Consider the following 27,525-nt stretch of genomic DNA (forward strand, 5'->3'; position numbering starts at 1 on the left):
AGTCTGATGACTATATAACTCAGAGATGATCATCTTGTATAGTATCTTTCAAAGTTATCTGAATTTCTTGTATCTGTATGTCAACCTCTCTAGTGAGATTGGGAACATTTTCATGAATTGTATCTTCAAATATATTTTCCAAGTTACCTACTTTCTCTTCTTCTCTCTCAGAAAAACCAATGGGTTGTAGGTCTGGTCACTTTAGATAATCCCACCTTTTGCAGAGGCCTTGTTCATTTTTTAAAAATCTTTTTTTCTTTATTTTTGTCTGACTAGGTTGATTCAAAGTACCCATCTTTAAGCTTCAAAATTCTTTACTCAGCTTGGTCTAGTCTGTTGTTAAGACTTTTAACTGTGTTTTGAAATTCTTATAGTAATTTTTTTTTTAATTTCAGAAGTTCAGTTTTCTTCTTTTTAAATGTGGCTATCTTGGCTTTCAAGTCTTGGATAATTTTTCTGGCTTCCCTTGGATTGACTTCCAATCTTCTCTTGGATCTTTATGAGTTTCCTTGCCATCCAGATTCTGAGTTCTATATCTGCCATTTTAGATATTTCAATCTGGTAAGATTTATTGGCAGGGAGCTAGTGTGATCTTTGGGAGCAACAAAACACTCTGGCTTTTTGTATTGCTAATATTCTTGAGCTATTTCCTTTTCATTGTATTGCTAATATTCTTGAGCTATTTCCTTTTCATCTGAGGAAGCTGACACTTCCTTTCTCTTTTTGAAATTGCTGTCATTTGGATGAAGCTTTTTGAATTTTTATTCTTTTTTCCCTTTATAGCCTGATTGTGATGTATGTTGTATGGAATTTATTAGCTTTGTTTCTGGGTGCTTTCAGGGAGCCAAAGCTCTGTACAGGTTCCTTGATTGTAGATAGATTCCTGTTATAGGTTTCATAGGCATTGTATGTTGTAGCAAATTATTTTTGTTTGGTGGTGTAATTCAGACTGCAGTCTGGTAGATGGTGCTTAAGAGTGAGGGCCAACACACAGGCTCTCACTCAGCCATGCTTACACTTTTTGTATTTCAGTGCATCTGCAACAGTGCTCTGGGGAGGAGACAAAAGAGGACAAGAGAAGACTCGCTCTCCAAGTCCATTTCTGGGCTTTCATTGTATTCTCTTCATTGCTGGCACTATGCCAGTGTTTCCTTTCCCCCAAAGGGGGCTTTAGCAGGCTGTACTTCCCTCTGCTGTAGGGGTGGTACACACTGAGGGTTAGGTCCCCAGGAGATCTCTGACTCCCCAGAAATCTACCAGTCCCTCGTGCTTGCCAAAGTCAGAGTGGGTTTTGGGGTATGTTTGCTAGTGGTCTCGTGATGCAGTGGCTCTAGGGCAGGGGATCCCAAGGCTGGGCATAGGCACTGTGGATGTTCAACCAGTATGATACCCATAGCCCAGTGTTTTCAGCCCACAGACAGATGTGGGGCCTGCCCAGCTCACACACTCTGAACCCAGGGGCTCTACTAACAGTGTCTGCCCCGGGAACATTCCCAATAAGTTAGGCTTGTCCCAGGCCATCTGTGCCCAGATTTCTGAGCCATTCCAGACATTCTGGGCTGTGGCTTCCCAGGGAGAGAAGCCACAGCTATCAAGCCCTATCCATCCCAGTCTGGTCTTGCAAAAGCAGTGCTGCCCATCTCCCGTGCTGGCACACAGAGTTCTGACAGTGAGATTTCTTCTCCTACTTGAGCTCAAGGCATACGTTTTTGCTTGATAACCCAAGCTGGTGTGCTTGAGTACTGGGGAGTTGAGACTTGGCCCACAGTTTTGTCCTCTGTCCCCTTAAAGTCAAGCACCATCCATAATTGGGGGATGAACTGATCTTAGGCTGCCAGTAAAACATCCAAGTGGGGCAGTGTAGGCTGTGCTGTGAGCTGGCAGGCAAAGGGGTGCAGGGATCAGAAGCACCTCAGTCCCATAGCGATGGTGGCCCTGCTCTCTCTTAGCTTGGCAGAGAGCAGGAGCTGCGCCCGCTCAGTGAAAGATGGAGTGAAAGATGGGTATGGGTGCCTATTGCATTTCACTGCAGTTAAACAGTGAAGCCTTCTAGGCTGTGCGTAGATTCAAGCTTGCCTCTACTTGTTCTCCAGGTGGCTCCTTCTGCCAGTCCAAAGGACTATGGGTGTCTGGGAATTTCTGTCACTAGGATCTCAGAGGTCCATAGTGGGAATGTAGTGTCCTAGGGTTTTTTCACTCTAGGTCTAGTCTGGGTCCAGGGACCAGTCCTGGCACCCAATGGCTCCATGCAGGCTTCCCAGCTTCCTCCCTGTTAAACTGCAGTGCCTGTCACCTCTCTATTGATTTCTGATTTTTCCTCTTTAAAGATCCATTCAAAATGTAATGGTTTACTGGATATTTTGTCTCTTCTCTGTGGAAAAGGCATTTCCCAGCTGTGTCTAGTTGGCTATCTTTCCAGCCCTTCAATTTTGTCTGAGATTTGTCTAGAGTAAACCAGTATCTTTAATGCAGCAATACTAGCTATTTTCATATAATAAAATGTATAATAATAGGTAATATTTTGCTATATAATGTCAAAATATATTTTGATCTTCAAAACTGTAAATTGTATGTTCAATTTAATACACTTATTTGATAGGAGCACCTTTTTAATATAAATCTTTAGAAAACCATTTATCTTTGAAATAAATTTTGAAAATTCTTAGCTAGAGGGTTTTTTGATTGTTTTTTATTTTCTCTGTTTGCTTTTATATATATATCTCAGGTCTTCTTAATAAACAGAAAATGAGAAAATCGATAGCTTTATATTAGATTTCTTTGTCTGCTTTAACAAATCACCGTATATTTCATGGCTTAAATCAAAACAAATTTATTATCTTGCATTTCTATAGCATAGAAGTTCAACAGAAGTCTTGCTGGCCTAAAGGCAAATTTGGGACATTCCTTTCTGGAGGCTTTTGGGGAAAATCTATGTTTCTGCCTTTTCCAGCTTCTAAGAGTTTCCAATATTCCTTGGCGTGTGGCCCTTTTACTCCATCTTTAAAACCAGCTGTGTTGCATCTCTCTGACCATAGTTCATAATCACATCTTCCACCTACCAGAGTTGGGAAAGTTTCTTTACTCACATGAACTTATGTGATTATTTTGAGCCCATATAGAAAATTCAGAATAATCTCCTCGTCTACAAGACAAAATTTTATCTTCATACTTAATGTATTTATTTAATTTAAAGTTTAAGTTATGTGTATCTTCCAATATTATTTCTGTGAAATAAAAGGGGAAGTTCTAAACATAAGTAAAATGTCTATGTAACTATATCATCAACATCTTCTCTAACATATAAATTTATTTTTCCACCAGATACCTACATAACAGGAATATTTCTTATCTCATTAGTGTTTTTTTATTTTAAAATATATTTACATTTGTATTATGCAATATATTTAATTACATTACACATACATATACATTAATTTTAATATACATTTTGAGCATAATTGTTTTAAGTGCTATGATATTGTCATCTCTTCTCAACATGACTGATTTAAATCTGACTTAATGGATGATTTCAAAGTTTTAATAGCAATTCCTTTTTCTTGAACTAGGTACTACAAAATACACTTAGAAATTCATGTTGAAGTTAATTTATTTTCCATTTAATTTACAACTGCATAAGTAATAAATTATGTACCACTGAGACTTAATTTATTGTAATGCTCACAACACAGGAGTCCAATTACAAATAGAGAGTTAAAGTTATAAGTATCTTAAATTATTAAGGGATTGCCACTGTTAGAAATCTGGAATTGGAAATTTTATTATTTGTTTTATTGTTATTTTATCTGTTATTTCTAACCTGTGGTTATTTTTTATTTGGCTTTCATATCCAGGATTGCATATTTTTAAAAATTATACAAGTTTTGGGGTAGTTGACAATATGAATAAATAATATATTTACATATGTATATATATTTTTTAAAGGTCAAGAAAATAAACTATTCTTGGTTTGAATAAAATATGAGAGACACTTAAGGTTGTTTCTACAACTTGGCTGTTGCGAATAATGCTGCAATGACTACAGTCAATAATTCTGTATTATATACTGAAAACTTTGAGAGTAGATTTCAGTGCTCTAACCACACATACACACACAAAACCTGGCAACTATATAAGGTTATGAATATGTTAATTAGCTTGAGAGTGCTGTACACCTTAAATACATACGATTTTTATTTAAAAATTAATAAAAAATAAAGGAGCTTGGCCTTATGCAATTAAAAACAATAACAATGACAATAATACCATAACAACAACAGTTTTGTGAGAAACTGCAAGAGCAATTTGAATTCTGTTTTTATCACTCTAATGTGTATACTTAACCTGGAGTTGGGGAAGTAGGTTTGAGCTTTCAGCAGATGCCTTCTGCAGGCGGCAATGAGAGTTTTTGGTTTACAATATTTAATATCTTTCCTTCTCAGCTGCGTTCTTTCATTATCAAAAGGATTGGCATTCCATATGTCAAAGTGCATAGGTAATATTACAGTCACAGAAGTCCCTGCTAGTATTGAGAACTGATGAAAATATGTGACACTCAGTGAGTTTGCCTTTAGATTTTATTTCTTCAATATTTAATCCTCAAAATATCCAGGGCAGATGGACGACTATGAGAGTGAATGTATTTTTCAAATGTGGTTTCTTCCAAGAAAAATTTAACTATCAGATAATTATCTTTGATGTAGTAGTAAGCGAGACAGTATTCAGTAGCACCTTCACGTTCTGCTCAGTGGCTCATCTCTTTCCTCTTGAAAAATCACTTTAAGTGAAACAGAATAGGTCCTGCCCTTCTGTGCTTCTCCATTAGCCTCTCCCTGAAGGAAGAGCTAATGTCTCCACTAAAATAGGCACCAAGACCAAAGTAATAAAATGCCTTCATATAATAACATACAAATTGTCGATAGTAAATGCTATCTAAAGTGAAATTGTAAAAGCAGATATACTAAAAATAAAGATGTTAGCTATATTTAAGAAAATTAACTTAATAATGTTATCCAAGAATCTAAAGTCATTAAAAATACAAAGTAGATACTAATTGTGAAAAATACTACATAAAACTAAGAAATAATTAGATGTAATAATAACACCATGAATAATAATGTTGAGTAAGGCAGAATAAAGTTGAGTCAGGCAGAATAAGAAAATATATATATATATATATTCTGTGAATAAATTATTAAATTAAATTATTAAGGGATTCACAGAAAATATATTTTTATAAGTATTAAGTAAAGAGCGAGAAAAAGGAAAGATTCTAATATCAGGATATTGAAAGTCTCAAGCAGTTATTAATAGTTTTTCAATGGCAGAACAAATAATTTAAAATTAAATGAAGAGTCAAAATAGAGGAATGTCCTTATTTATGTATGAAGTTACAAATGAGAGATAAAGAAAACCATGTCCTGAACATGTTATAAAGTTAAGACCTCAATTTTAATAAAAATATTTTAAATTATTTCAGGGAGAAATAAATGATCATATAAAAAAGTTGTCTGAGTAGATTCAGAAAGAGTGGTAAAGAAAAAATGGTGAAATAAATTTAGCCTTAAAAGAAAATGATTTGCAATTAGAATTCTATATTTTACCATCTTTGATTTCTGTATTTTAAGTATTTTCAGACGTGCAATAATTTATGTACTATGAAAAGCTCTACATTGAAACATTTTCAGTAAGTTCTAAAATAGGAAGAGAAATAATACAGGAAGAGTCCATGAGAGATGTGGGAAATTACAGAAAATTCAGATTTTAACTTTAAAAAACGAAATTATACAAAAAAGGTAATCCACAGGCCAAAAGAAAATGTGGTATTACAGATACAGAACAAAATTAATATATTTCAAGTAGAGATCCATATTTTATGAGGTCTGAAGCATATGTAACTTTTATATCTCCTTTTAAGGAAAAAAAATTTAAATACAAATTATAAAAGCACTTATTTTAAGAAAAGAGAAATTAAAACAAATCACAAATTTTGAAAAAGCTGAAAAATACCACAATTCAGTTTGCATTTTGACTTCCCCTGAGACATTACCAACATGTTTGAATTTTGGTATTACCAGTAATTTATTTAAAATTATAAATATTCTAAAATGTTTATATACATACATATTTATATGCATATCTGTGTATGTGTGTGTGTGTGTGTGTGTGTGTGTGTGTAGGCAAATGCATTTTAAGATTTCCTTATACTATATCTGCCTATATATTCGTGTCACCAAATTATCCCCACATTATATGCATTTGCTTATTAATGGATATGTGTAAGAATTTTTATCACTGAATATTTTTATCTTTAGGCAGTTTTTTGTTTCAGCAGTGACTTATATGGCACTTAATTTGTAATTGGAAGTCCTCCTTAAAACAAGTTGTGTCAGATACGGTAAGTTGTGATATGATACGTTGAGATGCATAAACATGAGATTTCACACACAGACATACTACTGTGCATAGCACCTGCACTCTCCAAAAAATGAAGCATCCTACTTTCCTTGATTTTTGTCGTAAGGTATAAATAGGTGTATTTAGATTGTTTACACTGCATTATCAAGTGTATTTCTGACAAAGGGAACTTCAATTTTGAAAAGATATAAAAGAGAACCATGTTTTTCAAGCAATTTTATACATCCAATGATAAAGGAAAAATTCCATCCCGTGTTTTCTTGCTCTGTGCATTTCAGATTATTCAGAGCTGGATGACATAGGTCACAGTAATCACAATACATCCCACTCATGCCTATCATGATGCCAAATGAGAATGCACAGTGGGAAGACAGTACCATAAGAGGATGACCAGCAATAACTGAATGATACTTACATATAATTGTGGTCAACATAAATCTTTCTATTAAACTCAAACTAAATATAATAGCCACAAAATTGGGTAATCATCAATGGAAAATACATATATGGATATATACCATGAGGTATGCTATATTAGCAGCAATGGACAAGATGAAAATACAAACGCATTACACATAAATACAATATATATTTTAAAAGAGCACATATTAACAAAAGTGTAGCTGTTAACACATTACAGTAATTATCCATGTGAGAAAAAAAATGGACATGGAAAAAGCAAGTTAAAATGAGTTGATATAAAAATAAACTAGAAAAGGATAGTGACAAAAAGATCAGTGACAAGGAGCCTAAATTTTTTTTTAATCACATTTAAGAACTGAAAAAGTAAATGTCCATTAAAAAATAAATCCATATATAAGCAGCTAAAGATTCTCTCACAATATAAAAACTGATGTCAGTATTCCCTTTTTCCTTTCTTTTAGGATTACATAAAAGATTTTTCAGCTTCTGCTTTCAAATATTATTATTATATCTTGAACATATTGATCCAAACCTGTAAAAATCCAATAATTAATAATTCAAATTGATTTCAAATTATCCTCAGTAGTTTATCATGCATCCATCAGCATTTAAGAAAATCTTTTCCTCCAACAGAAAAATTTTTCCTTGAATTTAATTGATATTTTTGTGGTAATAAAGAGTAGTATTTAGTACATTACATGGAATGTATTTTAAAAAGAAACTATAAAATGTTATTTTGTAGTTTTTGCTTCCTAAAGATTTTCAGCAAATGAATGGTCTACTGTAATAATATTTTATAGCTGCCTTTTTGTGAGTGTAAGTTTTATACTAATTTTGAAAATAAGAATAAAATGTCATATCTGATAGTTTTGAATTCTGATTTGATATAATTTATGTACTAAGCAGACATGAATGTTTTGAAATGTAATCTGCAATATATAGGCAACATTTATGTGACATTTTGATCTGAGGTATCCTTTTTAATTAATTTTCTCTTGATTTTAATATTTTTAAAAATTAGAAAAATGTGTGAAATGTAGATCAAAGTATTTTCACCCACACTTTGTTAAGCACATTAAAAATTTTACTGTAAGTAGATAGAGTGAAACTAATCTACAATTTATAGTCTAAATGACAGATTTGTACATAAATTTGTCATAACTTAGAGTTGAAAAATTTCAAAATATTATTTGAGTGTCTTATATAATTTTACCAAATTTTTAAAAAAGCTTCTGAGGGCTGTAGCTAAATTATGCCCAACACCCATTAAGCATGTACACAAATATATCTCATCATATCAAATTTGAAAGTGCAAGTATACATTCATATCAGTTTAAGCAACAAATTTGGGATGTTTCTTTACACCTCTTTATATATTCCACAAAATCAATCTACACCTGAAAAATAATAAGTTCCATTTGTGCATTTTAACAAGAATTTTCATTGTAAAATGCATGTATGCTAAAACTCAATATGACTTTTTGGAATTACTGGCCAAATATCAAAAGTCACTTAAAATATTATTATAAGTTACATTAAATAAATTAGAATTGTTACATATAAGGAATATCTCTTTACTATCTGTTTTAGTGAAGGTTCTTCAGAGAGACAGACCCAGTAGGATGTGTAGGGAAACATGAAACAAATTCATTAGGGCAATTGGTTCACTTGATTATGGTTGCTGAGAAGTTTCATGATAGGCCATCTGCAAATTGGAAAACCAGTAACTTAGTCCAAGTCCAAATGCCTGAGAGTCTGGAGGGCCCATAGTGTGGGTCCCAAAGTCCAAAAGCTGGAGAACCTGGAGTTGTAACATCCATGGGCAGCAGAAAAAGAGTGTTTGAGCTCCAGAAGAGTGAGCAAATTCACCCTTCAGCAGAAGAGGGACAGGCTCAGTGCCTATTGAAGCATTGAGAATAAATCATGCTTTCTCAGCTGATTTGACACCCCCAAAGCAATCATAATAAATCTACCTGGATACTCATGTGTATCTCCTTAAATAGTACCTAATCTCCAAATGAAGACAATAACAAGGTCACAGTTTCACCTAGCATAATACAACTACCCTATGTACACTGGAAACACACTAATCTCTTTCTCAGAAGAGGAGGTAAGGTCCTTGAGTGATGTTTACTCCTCTCCTGATAGTTGGTAGCTTAAATACCATGAGGAAAAATTAACAATAAAAATGGCCCCTGACTTGTCATGGTTCAAGTTATAATTTTTTTAAAACTTAGGTAGTGAGAAAGTGGTATGCATCCAGTAGAAACCGTACCTTGAATTTTGCATGTTGATCTTTTCCCAGGCTATCAGTGTGGTACATACTCTCTCAGAATGCTGGGTAGCTGCTGTGAATCACAGCTCCCAGTCAGCCATGTTACCATGAGAGTAAACAACTGATACTCTACAGTGTATTATAAATGCATTTTGACTTAACGGTATTTTCAGCTTACCATGGGTTTATCAGAACATAACTGCCTTGTAAGTTGAGTATCCATACTTAAATAGTGATATAAACCCAATATATCTGAAAATATCAGTACAAGACAAAAGAGGGGAAAAGATATTTGCTTAATATATGCATATATTTACATAAATGCACTTGTGACAGAATAGGAAAGAATAGACGGTACTCAAAGCCTTCTTTTCTGTAACTGGTCACATTATCTTACCTGGTATTTAAAACTACATACATTCTTTTACTTCCCACTCTATACTCTTGGATGGCATTAATCGTCACCTCAACTAATCATGGTTCTTTACTAGGTAGAGAAACTGAAAACTTCATTCCTCAGCACGAGCAATTTGTAGTCCTGGCTGGATGAGGATGTTATAATTTCCCACTGATCTTAATTACAGGTCATGGTAACATTAAGAGACACCCTAAGGGATCTCTTGTATTCCTTACAAGAAAGATATAATCTTTCTTGCCTTCATTATGAAGTAGCAATCCAAGATTCACTTGATATTCTAGATCAATCACTCCAGCAAACACCATTACTTCCCCCTTATCCTGCTGACTCAGAGGCATGTGAAGCCACAAGTGGCCAGGTGGCAGTCACAGCCTGGAGTTCAATAGAATCATTGTTGTGTCTCCTAGTGCAAGCACTTCTCCCTGTGGCACAAAGACCTCTAGGCCAGCTCAGAGCATGAAGTTGTAGGAAAAGGAAGCTAACATTTTGCTAGGAGGTCACTAGGGATAACGGTGAATTGTATCACTCTCATTTCCAACCCTTGATTCCTGGAACATTAAATTATGGCAATGAAAAAAAAACTGTACTATATATTGAATGCTGTCTCAGAGCATCTATAGCATTCTTGTGAATCTTGCAGCAGCCTGCAAAGCTTTGTCACCTATCTGACACTGTAACTGAGCCTACCAAAGGCCATTCCCAATTTCTATCAAGCCAACTGCTTCAGGATGGTAGGATAACCTGGTAAGACCAGTGAATTTCATGAGCATGAGCCCATTGCTGACTTCTTTGGCTGTGAAGTAAGTTTCTTGATCAGAAACAGTGTCCTGTGGGATACCGTGATGGTGGATAAGTCATCCTGTAAGTCTATGGATGGTAGTTTTGGCAGAAGCATTGTGTGCAAGGAAAGCAAATCCATGTCCAGAGTAAATGTCTATCCCAGTAAGAACAAAACCTTATCCATTCCACAATAGAGATATTCAATGTTATCAACCTGCCACCAGGTAGCTAGCTGATTACCCCCAGTGAATGGTGATATATCAAGGGCTTAATGTTGATTTCTACAGCTGGCAGATTGGGCACTCAGTGGTGACCATAGCCAAGTCAGTCTTGTAAGTGAAAATTCATGTGGCTGAACCCTTGAATAACCCCATCCCTGCCAACCATGTCCACTTTTTTTGTGAGCTCATTGGGTGGTAGTGATGGCTTGAAAAGAGGCTGATTGGTATTTACAGAATAAGTCATTATGCTTACTTGATTGTTAAAGTCCTCCTCTACTGAGATCATTTTTTTGGTGAACATTCACATGGGACACAAATATTTTTATGTCTTTACCCACTGAGGGAAATCTATCCACATGCTCTTCCCTCAATATTTTTCTCATCAATTTTCCAATCATGTTATTTCCAAATCCCTCACCATCCATCCAAACCACAGCCCATAAATTGGTATATAATTGAATGCCTGGTTATTTCTTATTCCAAGCAAAGTGACATCCAGGTGCACTGGATGCAGTGCCAGCCACTGAGAAGATTCTTCTTCACCAATGTCTTTCAAGGATGTCCCAGAAAATGGTTGTAGTGCCACTGTTGTTCTGTTCACTTTCAGGTGGTGCCTGCATATTGTGCAGCACAAGTGTAAACTAGCCCTGAGTCTTCTATTCCTCTCTCCATTGATCATAGGTTATTACTTGAGAGGTTATAGGTATAGGCTGCGAGAGAGAAGGCAATATAGCAGGAAGAGGAATCATGGCATTTGGCCCACTTCTTCAAGTAACTTACTTCAGGACATGCTCACATATATGGTGCTTCTATTTGCTGATGGAGTGCTGCTGTGTATGTCAATTTATGGCTTGGTAGCTCAGATAATTATAGTTGGTGCCAGTCCACAACAGGCAGCTCAGGTGTCATGGTAACGTGGTGCCCCATGGTCAAGTGTTTGGTTTCTACTAAGGCCCGATAGCAGGCCAAGAACTGTTTCTCAAGAGGAGAGTAGTTATTTGCAGATAGTGTCAGGGCCTTGATCCCAAAACCTAAAGGACTGTGCTGTGATTCACCTACAGGGGCCTCCCAAAGATTCCAACAACATCCTTCTCAGCCATTGAAACTTCAAGTACATTTGGAGCTGTTATCTCATATGGCCCAAGTGGCAGAGCAGCTTGCTCAGCAGCCTGGGCCTGTTGGAGAGCCTTCCACTACATTGGACCCCACCTAAAATTAGCAGCTTTTTGGGTCACTTGGTAAATGGGTCAAAGTCATACACCCAAATGAGGAATATGTTGCTTCCAAAATCCAAGTAGGCCCACTAGGCATTGTGCTTCTTTCTTGGTCGTAGGAGGGTCTAGATGTGACAATTCATCCTTTACCTTGGAAGAGTTATCTCAATACGTCTTACACCAGTGGACCCCTAGAAATTTCACTGAGGTAGAAGGACTCTGAATTTTAGAAGAATTATTTTCTATCCTCTGACACATAAATGTCTTAACAATAAGTCCTGAGCCATTTCTAATTATCACTCACTAAGTATAGTCAGCATAATGTCATCAATGTAAGAGACCAATGTGAAATGTTGTGGAAAGGAATAGTGATCAATACCTACATGAACTAACTTATAACACAGTGCTGGAGAGTTGATATGCCCCTGAGGTAGAATAGTGAAGGTGTATTGCTGGCCTTTCTAGCTGGAAGCAAACTGCTTCTGGTGGGCCTTATTGGCAGGTGTGGAGAAAAAGGCATTTGCCGATTAATAGCTGTGTACCAGGTACCAGGAGATGTGTTTATTTTCTCAAGCAATGAAACCACACCTGATACAACATTTATGACTGGAGTTGCCCCTGGTTAAAGTTACAATAACTCACTGTCATTCTCCAGTATCCATCTATTTTCTGTTCAGGCCAAATAGGAGAACTAAATAGGTATATGGTGGGAATCACCACCTTGCATCTTTCACATCTATGATGGTGGCATTCGTTTCTGAAATTCCTCCCAAAATATGGTATTGTTTTTAATTTACCAATTTATTATTGTCCTAGGGAGAGAAAACTCTACTTGCTTCCATTTGACATTTTCCACCATAAAGGACCTCACTCCACAGGTTAGGGAAACCACGTGATGATTATGCCAGTAGCTAAGTATGTCTATTTCAATTATGGATCTGGAACTGAGATAATAATCACAGAATGGGTTTGAGGACCCACTGCACCCACTGTAAGTTGGACTTGAGTTAAAACTTTATTGATCACCTGACCTCCATCAGCCCCCTACTCTGACTGTAGGGCCACAGTGATGTTTTAAGTCTCCTGGAATCATTGTCAACTTAAAGCCACTGTCCAGTATTCTCTAAAGGCAGACTTAATCTTCCCCAGTGCACAGGTCTCTGGTAAAAGGCCAGAGTCCCTTTGGGGAAAGGTAAACATTGTAAATTTTCAGCAGGATACTAGTGTCTTAAGATACTACTCTTGTTTTAAATCTGTAAGTCTTAAAAATAAAATCTGTTAGTCATTTGTATTCAGTAATGCTTGGATTTTATCCTATAGATAAACTCACAGTATGTGAGTCTGTGTGTGTTTGTGTGTGTATGTCTGTGTTCAGTTAAGTGTGTTAGCAGCAAATATCTAGAAACAAACTATTAGTACAAGAATAAATATATCTTAGAAAATTTATTCAATAAAGTACTACTCAGCCATTAAACATTAAACACAATGGCTATATAAGTACTGACATGAAAATAAATTTATGGTATATCATTAGGTATAAAGACCAATTCTTTGGCTTGCATTACCTACTCTTTTTTGAAGTAAAAAACATTTGTTGGTAATTCTGTTATCATAAGAATGGTTGATACACTGAGAGGATAAACATCGTATAATGAGTGGTAAAATATTCCAAAGGAAACAAAGGAACTGATGAAGTAGCAGTCTGTAATAAACATGCATCATACATATACACACATACATATATGTATACATATATACATACACATACATATATGTATACATACATATACATACACATACATATATGTATACATACATATACATACACATACATATATGTATACATACATATACATACACATGCATATATGTATACATACATATACATACACATGCATATATGTATACATACATATACATACACATACATATATGTATACATGCATATACATACACATACGTATACATACATATACATATATGTATACATATACATATACATATATGTATACATATACATGTACATATATATATCTTGATCTTTGGAATATATATATATATAGTCTAGTTTGGAGGATAATGCACCTCCATTCTCCACCTACTAGAAGTGCAATTTACAAGAGTCTCCATCGGCAGCTCTCTGAAATCTATTACACTGTTTGCACCCATGCCTCCCCCACACTGCTACCAGCTAATTACAAAATGTGGAGGGAGTGTACTAAGGCAAGTCAACTCCTGGGACACACCAAACTCCTCTGGTCACTTTCAAAAAAGAGCAGTGACACCCAAACCAATCATTTATTAGACAACCTGGCAATCTAGGATGTGTCCATCCAATTTTATGTTCTTTCTTTTATTTATGGGTATACTTGCATTGAAGTCTGACTGTTCTTTCATCATTCCAGAACCCCTTTCCATTTTTTGTCTTATGGTAGCATGCCTCCTCATAAAATCTTTGCACTGCTGTATGAGTCAGGGTTTTCCAGAGACACAGGACCAATAGGATAGATAGATATAGATACATGAAAGGGGATTTATTAAAATAATTGGCTTACATGATTATGGAGGATGAGAAATCCCATGACTCTCTGCATTCAAGACCTGGGGATGCTTATAGTGTGGATCAGTCCAAGTACAAAGGCCTCAGGACCAGGAAAGCTGATGGTGTAAGTTTCATTCCAAGGCCAGGTATCTGAAAACTCAAGGGGACACTGATGTAAGTCATGGAGTTCTAAGGCCAGGCAGCCTGAAGTTCTAATGTCTATACACATGTAGTACATGTCAGAGGAGGACAATATCATAGCTCTGGGAGAGAGATAGAGAGAAAATTTTGTTTTCTCCTCTTTTGTTCTATCTGGACCCTCAGCCAATTGCATGGTGACTACCCACATTGAAACTTGGTCTTCCCCACTCACTTGATTTTCCCCTCTGACTCTTGTGCTAGTCTCCTCTAGAAATACCCTCACAGGCAAACCCAGAAATAATGCTTTACCAGTTCTCTAGATATTCCATTATCCAGTTTAGTTGACACCTAAAGTTAACTATCAACAACTGTTAATTATTTCTTGATGCTTCTCAGAGGCCCTAAAAAAACACATACAAAAGGCATGTCATGGAGGTATAAAGAAAAACTTTTAATTAATTTTGATTACAAAACTCGAATAAGAGAAAACTAATAATGTTTCACATTTTAATGAATACATTTTACTTACATGAGGTAAAAATATTTATAATAGACAAATAGACATATACGACATAATAATACATAAATAAGAAGATATAAATAATACAAAATCTTTTATTTATTTTAAGGAAGAGATATATATTATATAATCAAAACCAGAGAATAGCACATATAAAAAATGTTTTTGAAAAAGTAAAATCTTGCTATGTTAACTATATGTCAAGGTGGTCTTTTAAAGTAGTTTTCTTTTCAATAATTTGGACATATTATCAGGAAAAATTTAAAAATAGTATTAAAACAAAATTACTGAATTAGATTCCTATCTATAAAACATGACAGTCGATGGAATGAAGAAAGAAATAGAAATGAAGTTACCAGATATAATTATTCAATCTTTGCTATTTTTATTTCTTAATGAGTTTAAAGAAGAAAAGAAAACTGTCATGGAATGAGAAAAGTTTAAAGATTTGTTTAATATTTGTTTTATGAGAGGTATTTGGGACTTAAAAATTCCACTAATGCTTAACGTAGTAAGAAGAAACATTAATGGGCTGAGAACATTGTGTTTTAACTGCACATTTAATTTCACACACAAAAAAATCTAATTCTTGCTATGAAACATGGGTAAATTTGTATATCAATTTTTTTCCCAATTCTACATCCATCGTTACAACCTATCTTTGTCTAACATTACAATTTTATTTCATTAATGAAATACATGCATATATAAATATACAGTATATATAAAAATACATACTATATATAAATGTATATAGTATATATATATACTATATAAATATATACTATACATAAATATATATACTACAAATATAAATATATATGTTATTTACATTCCTCTCTGTAATCTCCTTTACTCTTTTATTAAACAGTCGCCCCATATTCATTTGTTTCTTTCTGCTCTTAGAAGGGTGCTGTATCATATTAATGGCTAGGGATTTGGACAACAGAAACAGATAGCTTTAGATTTGAATCCTGTCTCTATAACCTTGGACAGGTTACTTAAATTTCTTGAATTTCACTTTCTTGATTTGTAAAGTGGGAACAATAATATACAGCTTTGTGAGTTTATGTGAAAATTATGTGTACAAATCTTAGAATAGCTCCTGGCACATGAGAACTCAAGTGTTAGCCATTCCTCCCATCTCCAAACCTAGAATACTCCATTCTCTACTACACTGCAAGCAATATGAGAACAGAAATTTTTGTATTCAAGTACTGGGAACAATGACTGACACATAATAGTTGTCCAATAAATGCACAGTGAATAGAAGATTGAATAAGTTTTGTGCATGTAGTTACCCTCTTTTAGACTTATTTCATATTTATATTTGATAATTTATTTTACTTTCATTTACCTTTGTATTTCCTTCAAGATTGACTTCAATTTTCCTAGCAAGGCTTCAGTTGTATTTTTCTTTCTTGTGGAGGCTTCATAATGGCTGTAAGTTAATAAAATTGCATTTATATGTTTGTTTCCTAGATTCTCTTTGCTTGGTAGCTCTACTTTCATCTTTTTTTAATAAAACCATCTTGCCATTAGTTTCTTTGAGAATCTATAGAATTATTTCTTGACAATTTTCCGTTTCTTGGGATAGTTTTCTGATATCCCTAAATATTCTTTTCTCATGCCACCTTATTCCTTTAAAGTACCTTTACATCACATAGCATAGAATAGCATAAAAAAAGTTTATGAAGATTACTTTCAAGTTATTACTTCCTTTGAGAACAGATAGCTATTTGCTGATGGCATGCTGAGAATAAATGGAGGTGATATACTGAGCTCAAGCAGCTAAATTCCTCTTATAAAATCAGTCATTTTCTCTTTCTGGAAGCATATATCCTCTCTGTTTTTGCAGATCAAGGTAGCTAATAATAAATTCCCATGTATTCAAGCCTTTTTGGAACTTGATCTTGTCATTCCTGCTTTTCTTCTGTTCTTTTCCACTTCTTATTTACAAGAGACTTCTCAGGCAGGAGGCTGCTTTTGTTGTTGTTGCTGTTGTTCTTTTTCTCCCTTTCCTTTAAAATAATTGAGAACAGTTTACAAAAACAAAATGCGTAATTCCTAATTGTACATCTTAGTGAATATTATACAGTATATGTCTACACCTGGGTAACAACCACCCAGATTGAAACAGAGTATTTTGTTTAACCTAGGGATTTTGTTATACCCTTGCCATTCAATTCTCCCACCTGCCTTCATAATCATTCCTCTAAATTCTGTTAAGATAGATTAATATTGCTTATTTTAGAACTTCTTATAAATATAATCACATAATATAAACATTAATTTCCTTGTGGGCAGTTTATTTGGCTCAAGTTATCTTCATTAACTTAAATTTATGCAGTTGTATGTATCACTTTAATTTTTGTTTAATATTGAATGAATTTGAATGAAGATACAATTTGTTTATCTGTTCTCCTGATGATGAACATTTTGACTGTTTCCAATTTGGGATTATTATAAAAGAAATGTCTATAAATAATCTGGAACATCCAGAAAATATAGATATGTATTTTTTGGTGTAAATATATTCTCATTTCTTGTGTATATTCACCTGTGGGGGGAAGTGCTCGGTTACAGTAGGTATGTGCCCAAATTAATTAGAAACTGCTAAAAAAAATACTGTATTATTTGCAGCTAACATTCCACTTATTTAGTTGGTTTCATTATTCTTTTAATTCTAGTCATTCTAATGGGCTATAGTGGTAATTCAATATGGCTTAAATGTATATTTCAGTAATACTGTTAACTAATGATTTTTTTTTTTTGGAGAAATGCTTATTGAAGGCTTTTATCCATTATTTAAACTGGATTATATAAAATTTTATTATCAATTTGTAGAAGTTCCTAAAATATTCTAAGTATAAGCATTTGCCTGGTAAATATATTGCATCTGTTTTCTTCCAGTCTTTGATTAGCCTTTTAGTTTGCTTAATGACACCTTTCATAAATAGTAGTTTTTAAAAATAATTTATAAGTCTAATCTTCCTATTATGGTTTTGAAACCTGACCAAGAAATCTCCCACACCTGGGTTACAAATATATTCTTCTTTACTATACTCTAGAAGCTTTACAGATTTAAGCTTCATAATTAGATTGATGAATATTCAAATTAAATTTTGTACATGGTATGAGGTAGGGAACAAGGTTAACTTTTAGCCATACAGCTATTGTGTTGATCCATCATCATTTATTAACAAGATTTTCCTGTCCCATTAAATATCATTGATATCATTGTCAAATATGGAGTATCATATATGTATGTGTGTGTGTGTGTATATATATATATATATATATATATTTTTTTTTTTTTTTTTTTTTTTTTTTGAGACAAAGTCTCACTCTGTTTACCAGGCTGGAGTGCAGTGGCTCAATCATGGCTTGCTGCAGCCTCAATCAGCTAGGCTCAAGTGATCCTCCTACTTCTCAGCCTCCTGAGTGGCTAAGACTACAGACATGTGTCATCATGCCTGGCTAATTTTTGTATGTTTTGTAGAGACAGAAATTAACTAGTGAAACTGGCCTGCTAAAACATGGCCAGCTCAGTAAAATTCTAGAAGTAGTATTTCACCATGTTGTGCCAGCTGGTCTTTGAACTCCTTGGCTCAAGCGATCTGCCCACCTTGGCCTCTCAAAGTGCTGGGATTATAGGCATGAGCCACTGTGCTTGGCCAGGTCTATTTTTAAAATAGTATATTTCTATTTTATTTATCTTTTTGACTATCCACATTTGAATACCATAATCTCTAAATTACAGTATTCTTAATAGTCTTGGAATCTATTAATTGTATTTCCTCTAACATTGTTTTTCTTCTTCATTTTCAATAAGGTCTTAGCCTCTTATGCCCTTTGCATGCCAAATGAGTAATAGAGTCAGCTTGCCAAATTCTATAAAATGACCTGATTTTTACATCAGTTCAAATCTCCATTTGAGACTTAATTGACGTTATAGATTATTTTCAGGGAAATTTACATCTTAACAATATTAAGTACTCCAAATTATAATTATATTATTTCTTCAAATTACTAAACTTTTTTCATTTCTGTGCAGTATTTTTTATTCGTTTGAAGTAAACAAGTTTTGCATCAATTTTATTCAAATTATTTTTAGGTATCTGTTTTTAATGTGTGTGTGTGTTTTCCCAATATTTGTTGCTATATATAAATCAAAGTGAACATTTTGTGATAACTTTGTATGCACAAGTCTCACTAAATTTATTTCTTAATTGTACTAGTTGTTTCTCAATTATTAAAGATTTACTGCATGCGCAATTGTATCATCTATGAATAAATGCTATTTTGTTAGCACAATATTTTCAATAATAAAAATAGATATATAATTGTGACTCTGACACAATACCTGATTTTATTAAATATTTAAAATGTACAAAAAAATGGAAATAGAAATTCTTTGTGGAGAAGCTATATCAGTCATAAGTTTCAAATTGTCCCTTTTCTCCCACAACAGTCTATCTTTGCCTTCAGATGAACAAAACATGGGTTCTGAACAATGTGTGCAGAAACATCTTTCTCAAAATATATTGTTTTACTTAAAAAAATCATTTTATATTTTACCAACTTACTTATATTTAACATGCCAGTGTCCCTTTTTATTTTTCAGCCTGCTATGCCAGATAAATCTGTAAGTTTGCACTTAATTATCAATAGGTCAGGTAGAAACCCAGTTATAAGATTTAAAATCTTATAAGTAAATGTTTAAAAATAAGATTAAACAATATAAACTTCTTATAGTTTCTTTCTGCCTGCAGATACTCTTCACATGTGTGTAGAAAGTTTTTTTATAGTCATTAGCATGCTTATTAGAAGGTCAGGCTGAGGTGCAATTTTATTATCTTTTAAAATCTATTGTTTCTAATTTAAAACCTGCCATTTTTCTTATGGATTTCTTCCAAACATAATGTTTATTTTTTATGTTGCTTTTAAGTATTTTTATGTATTTGTTAATTATGTGGTTAAAATCTGTTTCATTCAATAGACTGAACTTTGTGAGTACAACAGTAATATTTACATTTATGTAAAAATCTCCAGAACTTAGAACAATAATTAATACATAATGTTTCTTTACAGGCATTCATTGGGTTAATTAATGCCTTAATATTAATTTGGATAATTAATTGAAGAGCCCAGTAATATAACAGAGAACACTTGATAGTGCTCATGGTCTTCACTTAAAAAAATCAAAATCTTTATTTGGTTATAGTTTTTTTTTTTTTAATCTTATGATTCTCTGAATTAAGACAATTTTAAAAAATAAGCACTTCATAGGAAGGGATGGGAGATTATAAAGAATAAAGATGTTTGCTAAATTTTTCAAATAGGAAAACGATGCTTTGGTGATTGATGTTTAGCTTTCATTGTCAATCATTTAAATTTACAGAATCATTTTTATTACAGAAATTTTTCTTGGCAGAATTTTTCTAGTTTTAGACAGTGGTACATATATTTATAAAGAACTGAATAACAATTTCATAAAAGCATGGTCTATTTGTAAGAAATTGTAGTGAAGGGGTAACCTTAACATTATTTGTATCATGATCCAAATTAACTAGTGACAAATAAAACTCAAAATCTGCTGAAATATAGTCAGTTTAGTATAATTTCTACAAGTAGTTTCCTTGTGTTCATCACCAGATGTGTAATAACCATATAACAATTAAAATGAACTTCTGATACATGCTACAATTTAGATGGATATCAAGATAATTATGCTGAGTAAAAGAAAAAAGCCTCAAAAGCATATATAGTATGATTCCATTTATATAATAGTTTGACATAACAAAATTATAGAGATGAAGAACAGAGTCATGATTTTCAGTGGTTATCAGAGAAAATGATACATTACACTAAAGAAAGTTTATAGTTTTACAATACAATTCTTCAAATAGTTAAGGATACCATTATCTATATAAACTTACTTTCTTAAATTAGTATGATAAAAATGTAACAGTTAAAATATTTACTGATTACGAGCATTGGATTCTAATTGTCTTAACCATGAAAATTTATATATATATATATGTGTATATATATACATATACACACACATATATACATACATATATATACAATAAAACTCAAATGTATCTGGCAGCAGACTTTTTAGTAGAAACCTTACAGCCCAAGAGAAAGGAGCATGACATATTTAAAGAGCTGAAGGGAAAAAAAAAAAACTGTTACCCTAGAATATTATAGTCAGTGAAAATATACTTTGAATATGAAGCAGAAATAAATGCTTTCCCAGAGAAACAAAAACTGTGGGATTTCATCAACATCACAGCTGTCCTACAAGAAATGCAAAATAGAGAACTGCAATCAGAGAAAAAAGGACAATATTCAGCAATAGGAAGTCATGTGAAAGTACAAAACTCACTAGCAATTGTAAGTACACATATAAACACAAAACATTATAACACTGTCATTATGGTGTGTAAACTCTCATCCTAAGTAGAAAGACTAAACAATGTGCCAATCAAAAATAACTACAACAGATTTTCAATACATAGTCAGTACAGTAAGATGTAACTACAAACAAGGAAAAGTTGAAAAGTGGGAGGACAAAGTTAAAATATTGAGTCTTTATAATTTTTCTGTTTACTTTGTTTGTTGTTTATAAAAAAACCGTGCTAATTTGTTATCAGGTTAAAACTTTGGGTTATAAGACACTGTTTGCAAGCCTCATGGTAACCTCAAATTTAAAAAAATACAATGAAGGCACAAAAAATTGAAAGCAAAAAGCTAAATTATATCATGAGAGAAAAATTATCCTCACTAAAAGGAAGACAAGAAAAATGGAATGAAGGAAGAGAAGAACACAAATAACTAGAAAACATATCACAATGTGGCAGGAGTAAATTGTTATATATCATTACATATTACGTATTTATATATTAAATGTAAATGGACTAAACTCTTCAATCAAAAGACATAGAGTGGCTGAATAAATGGAAAAAGCAAGACCCAATGAATTGTTGCCTACTATAAACAAACTTCACCTAGGAAAACTCACATAGACTGAAAATAGAAATATGAATAAAGATATTTGATGCCAGTGGAAACCCAAAAAGAAGAGTAGTAGCTATACTTATATCACACAAAATTGATTTTATATCACACAAAATAGAGACCAAAATTCTGAGAAGAGACAAATGAAGAGAAAAAAGAAGGCAACTATGTAAAGATAAATGGGTCAATTCAGCAAGAAGATATAATGATTGTAAGCATACATGCACCCAACAGTGGAGCATCAGATACATAATGCATAAATTATTAGTGCTAGAGAAAGAAATAGACCCCAATATAATAACAGCTGGAGACTTCAGAAACCCATTGTCAGCATTGGACAGATATTTCAGAAAGAAACTCAACAAAGAAACATCAGACTTATTCTGCTCTATAGACCAAACAAAACTAATATATACAGAACATTTCATCCAATGGCTACAGAATACACATTTTACTTTTCAGCATATCGGTTATTTCCAAGGTTAGATAGACAATATATTAGGTCACAAAACAAATCTTAATTTTTTTTTAAATATGGAATAATATTAAGCATCTTCTTTGGCAACAATGGAATAAAACCAGAAATAAATAACAAAAGGAATTTTGGAAATCATACAAATACATGGAAATTCAACAATATGCTCCTGAATAACTAGGGGGTAATTGGAGAAATTAAGAAAAAAAAATTGAAAAAATTTACTGAAACAAATGATAACAGAAACATAACATTCCAAAATCTGTGGAATACAGCAAAAGCAATGCTAAGAGGAAACTTTATAGTTATAAGTGTCTACTTAAAAAAAGAAAAACTTCAAATAAACAACCTAATGATGCATCTTACAGAAATCGAAAAGTAAGAGCAAACCAAATCCAAAATCAGTGTAAAAAAAGTGATGACAAAAATCAGAGCATAAATAAATAACACTGAAATGAAGAAAATTCAAAAGTTCAAGGAAACAAAAAGTTAGTTTTTGAAAAATTAAAAGTGAGAAACCTTTAGTGAGAATAACTGAGAAAAAGAGAGAGAAGTCTCAAATACAGAAAATTAGGGAATAAAAGGGAGACATTATAGCTGACATCATAGAAATTCAAAGAATCATTAGTGGTTATTATGAGTAACTAAATTCCAATAAATTGCAAAAATCTATAAGAAATCGATAAATTCTTAGACACATACAACCTACCAAGATTGAACGATGAAAAAGTCCAAAACCTAAGCACAATAATAACAAGTAATGAGACAGAAAGTGTAATAAAAAAAAAATCTCTGAACAAAGAAAAGCCTAGGACCTGATGACTTCACTGATGAATTTTACTAAACATTGCAGAAGAACTAATACCAGTGCCACTCTAACTATTCTGAAAAATAAAGAAAGGCAGTTTATTGCCATAGTCATTCCATGAAACCAGCATTACTCTGATACCAAAATCAGAAAAAGACATCAAAAATAGAAATCTACAGCCCAATATCACTGATGACTATTAATGCAAAACTCCTCAATAAAATACTAGAACATGTAATTCAACCACACATTAAAAAATCATTCATCATGACAAGTAGAATTATCCCAGAGATGTAAGGAAGCTTCAACATAAGCAAATTAAATAATGTGAGGCATTATAGTAACAAAATTAAGGAAAAAATATATGATCATTTCAATTGGCACTGAAAATATATTTGATAAAATTCAATATTCCCTGTTAGTTAAAAAACCCTTATAAAACTGAGTATAGTGGAAACATACCTCAACATAATATAAGCAATATATGAAAGACCCACAGCTAGCATCATACTGAATGGGGAAAAACAGAAAATTTTCCCCCTAATATCTGGAATACAACAATGATGTCCACTGTCACCACTGTTATTCAATGTAGTACTGGAAGTTCTACCCAGAGCAATCAGTCCAAAGAAACAAATAAAAGACATATGAATTGAAAACGAAAAATTCCAATTGCCCTCTTTGGAGATGATATATTATATTTTGAAAAAAACTTAAAACTTCACCAAAAAAACTATTAAAACTGATACATTTAGTAACATTTCAGGATACAAAATCAATATACCAAACTTAGTAGCATTTTTATATGCCAATGTCAACCATTCTGAAAAAGAAATTAAAAAGTAATCCTGTTTACAATAGTTACAAATAAAATGAATAGGAATTCACTTATTCAAAGAAGTGAAAGACCTCTACAATAAAAACTATGAACTAATGGTGCAAGATATGGAATAGAATGCAAAGAAATGAAAAGATATTCAATGTTCATGGATTGGAACAACTAATATTGTTAAAATATTCATACTACCCAAATCAATCTACAGATTTAATAAAATCCCCACCAAATACAAATAACATTCTTCACAGAAATAGGAAAAATAATCCTAAAATTCATATGGAACCACAAGAAGACCCAGAATAGCCAAAGCTAATCTAAGCAAAAACAAATGAACAAACAAACAAACAAAAAAACCATAACTGGAGTATCCGCATTACCTGACATTAAGTTATACTACAGAGCTATAGTAACCAAAACAGTAAGGTACTGGACAAAAACAGACACATAGAGCAGTTCAAGAGAATAAATAACCCAGAAACATATCCATACATCTACAGTGACCTTATCTTTTTTTAGAACGTTTCCAAGAACATACGCTGTGGAAATGACCATCTCTTCAATAAATGGTGCTGGGAAAACTGGATATACATTGCAGAAGAATGACACCATAACCTTATCTCTCACCATATACAAAAATCAAATCAAAATGTATTAATTACTTAAATCTAAGTCCTCAAACTATGAAACTACTAAAAGAAAACATTGGAGAAACTCTCCAGGACTTTGATCTTGGCAAACACTTCTTGGGCAAAACCCACAGGCACAGGCAATCAAAGTAAAAATGGAAAGATGAGAGCATATCAAGTTAATAGGCTTCTGCAAAGCAGAAGAAATTTAAGAGAAACCCCAAATACAGGGATAATTTATTTGCAAACTACCCATCTGATAAGGGATTAATGAACAGAATATAAAAGGAGCATAAACAACTCTATATTAAAAAAACTCATAATTCAATCAAAAACTGGGCAAAAGATATGAATAGGCATCTCTCAAAAGAAGACACACGAATAGCAAACAGATATATTAAAAGGTGTTCAACATAATTGATCATCAAAGAAACAAATTAAAACTACAATGAGATATCATCTCACCCCAGTGAAAATGGCTTATATCCAAAATACAGGCAATAACAAATGCGGGTGAGAACACGGAGAAAAGGGGACACTCATATGATGTTGTTGAGAATGTAAATTAGTACAACCACTATGGAGAACAGTTTGGAGTTTCCTTAAAATACTATAAATAGAGCTACCATATAATCCAGGAATCCTGTCAGAGGCGTTTGAACCAGAACTACTCCGTCTTGAATAGAGGTTGAGGAAAATAAGGCTGAGACCTACTGGGCTACATTCCCAAGAGGTTAAGGCAATCTTAGGGTGTTATAGAAGATCAGCACAAAATGCAAGTCACAAAGATCTTGCTGATGAAATAGCATGTGGTAAAGAAGGTGGCCGAATCCCACCAAAACGAAGGTGGTAGTAAAAGAGACCTCTGGTCATCCTCACAGCTCATTATACACTAATTATAATGTATTAGTATACTGAAAGACACTCCCACCAGTGTCGTGACAGTTTACAAATGCCATGGCAATGTCAGGAAGTTACCCTATATGGTACAAAAAGGGAGGAACTCTCGGTTCCAGGAATTGTCCACTTCTTTCCCAGAAAATTCATGAAAAATTCACCCCTTGTTTAGAGTATAATCAAGAAATAACCATAAAATTAGCCAACCTGCAGCCCTTGGGGCTGCTCTGCTTGTGGAGTAGCCATTCTTTATTTCTTCTTTCTTAGTAAACTTGATTTCACTTTACTCTATTGATTTGCCTTGAATTCTTTCACACGTGAGATCCAAGAATCCTCTCTCAAGGTCTGGATCAGGACCCCTTTCTGGTAACAATCCCACTTCTAGGTAAATGCCAAAAGAATGGAAATCAGTATGTTGAAGAGATATCTGAAACCTCATGTTTTTTGCAGCACTATTCACATTAGCCAAGATTTGCAAGCAACTTTTGTCCATTAAGAGATGAATGGATAAAGAAAACATGGTACATATACAGAATGGAGCACTATTCCACCATAGAAAAGAATGAGATCTTGCCATTTGCAATAAAAGGAATGCGACTGGAGGTCATTATGTTAAGTAAAATAAGCCAGGCACAGAAAGACAAATATCACATGTTCTCACTCATCTGTGGGTGCTAAGATTTACAACAATTGAACTCCTGAATATAAAGCGTAGAATGAAGATTTCCGGAAGATGGGAAAAATAGTCAGGAATGAGTGAGGGGTAGACAGGGAAATAGCTAATGGGTACATAAAATAGAGTAAATAAGACCTAGTATTTGCTAGCAAAACTGGATAGCTACAGTGAAAAATAATTTAATTGTACATTAAAAAAATAACTCAGAGTATAACTGAATTGTTTGAAACACAAAGGGTTAATGCTTGAGGTGATGAATATCCTGTTTACCTTGACATGATTAGTTCATGTTGAATGCCTGTATCAACATATATCATGTTACTCATAAATATATATACATGTATACACACACACACCCCCCTAATATGTATCCACAAAAATTTAAAAAAATAAAAGTTTAAAAAATAAATATTAAACACAAATAAAATAAAATTTTGTAAGGTCAGCTGCGTAGTTTGCAAGGATTTTTTTCACTGTCTTTGGGGTTGTTTGTTTATTCTGTTGATAGTTTCTTTTGCTCCATGGAAGCTCTTTAGCTTAATTAGGTCCCACTTGTCAATTTTTTGTTGCTTTTGCAATTGCTTTCGGCATCTTCATCATAAAATATTTTCAAGGGCCTATGTCCAGAATGGTATCTTTTAAGTTTTCCTCAAGGGTTTCTATAGTTTTTGGTTTTACATTTAAGTCTTTAATGAATCTTAAGTTGATTTTTGTATATGGTGTAAAGAAGAGGTCCCAATCCAATCTTCTGCATATGGTTAGCCAATTATCCCTGCACCATTAATAAAATAGAGTCTTTTTTCCATTGATTGTTTTTGTTGAAGTTCAGATAGTTGTATGTGTGCAGCTTTATTTCTGGGCTCTCTATTTTTTTCTATTGGTCTATTTATCTGTTTTTGTACTAATACCATGCTGTTTTGGTTACTGTAGACTTGTAGTATAGTTTGAAGTTGGGCAATGAGATGCCTCCAACTCCAGCTTTATTCTTTTTGCTTATGATTGCTTTGGCTTTGGGGACAGAATTTCATTTCATATGATTTTTAAAACAATTTTTTTCTAATTCTGTAAAGAATACCATTGGTATTTGATAGGAAAGCATTGAATCTATAATTGGCTTTGCACAGTATGGCGATTTTAAGAATATTGATTCTTTCTATCCAGGAACATGGAATATTTTTCCATTTGTTTGTGACATCTCTGATTTTTCTAAGCAGTGATTTGTATTTCT

General features: G+C 33.2%; 1 long non-coding RNA gene across 1 annotated transcript in view, besides 2 other annotated features; it reads left to right on the forward strand.

The window, feature by feature from the left end:
- LINC00383 (long intergenic non-protein coding RNA 383) overlaps nucleotides 1-27,525 on the forward strand; it is a 99,756-nt gene that overhangs the window by 11,333 nt on the left and 60,898 nt on the right. The gene's annotated exons all lie outside the window — the stretch shown is intronic.
- Nucleotides 326-1,310: an enhancer, noted in NCBI's record as "OCT4-NANOG-H3K27ac-H3K4me1 hESC enhancer chr13:69808136-69809120 (GRCh37/hg19 assembly coordinates)". NCBI's record gives its function as "activates a minimal SCP1, AML or CMV promoter by ChIP-STARR-seq in primed H9 embryonic stem cells {active_cell/tissue: H9 hESC(primed)}" and the evidence as "EXISTENCE:reporter gene assay evidence [ECO:0000049][PMID:30033119]".
- Nucleotides 1,311-2,295: an enhancer, noted in NCBI's record as "NANOG-H3K27ac-H3K4me1 hESC enhancer chr13:69809121-69810105 (GRCh37/hg19 assembly coordinates)". NCBI's record gives its function as "activates a minimal SCP1, AML or CMV promoter by ChIP-STARR-seq in primed H9 embryonic stem cells {active_cell/tissue: H9 hESC(primed)}" and the evidence as "EXISTENCE:reporter gene assay evidence [ECO:0000049][PMID:30033119]".

The sequence above is a fragment of the Homo sapiens genome, chromosome 13 (genome assembly GCF_000001405.40).
Source record: "Homo sapiens chromosome 13, GRCh38.p14 Primary Assembly".
NCBI lineage: Eukaryota > Metazoa > Chordata > Mammalia > Primates > Hominidae > Homo > Homo sapiens.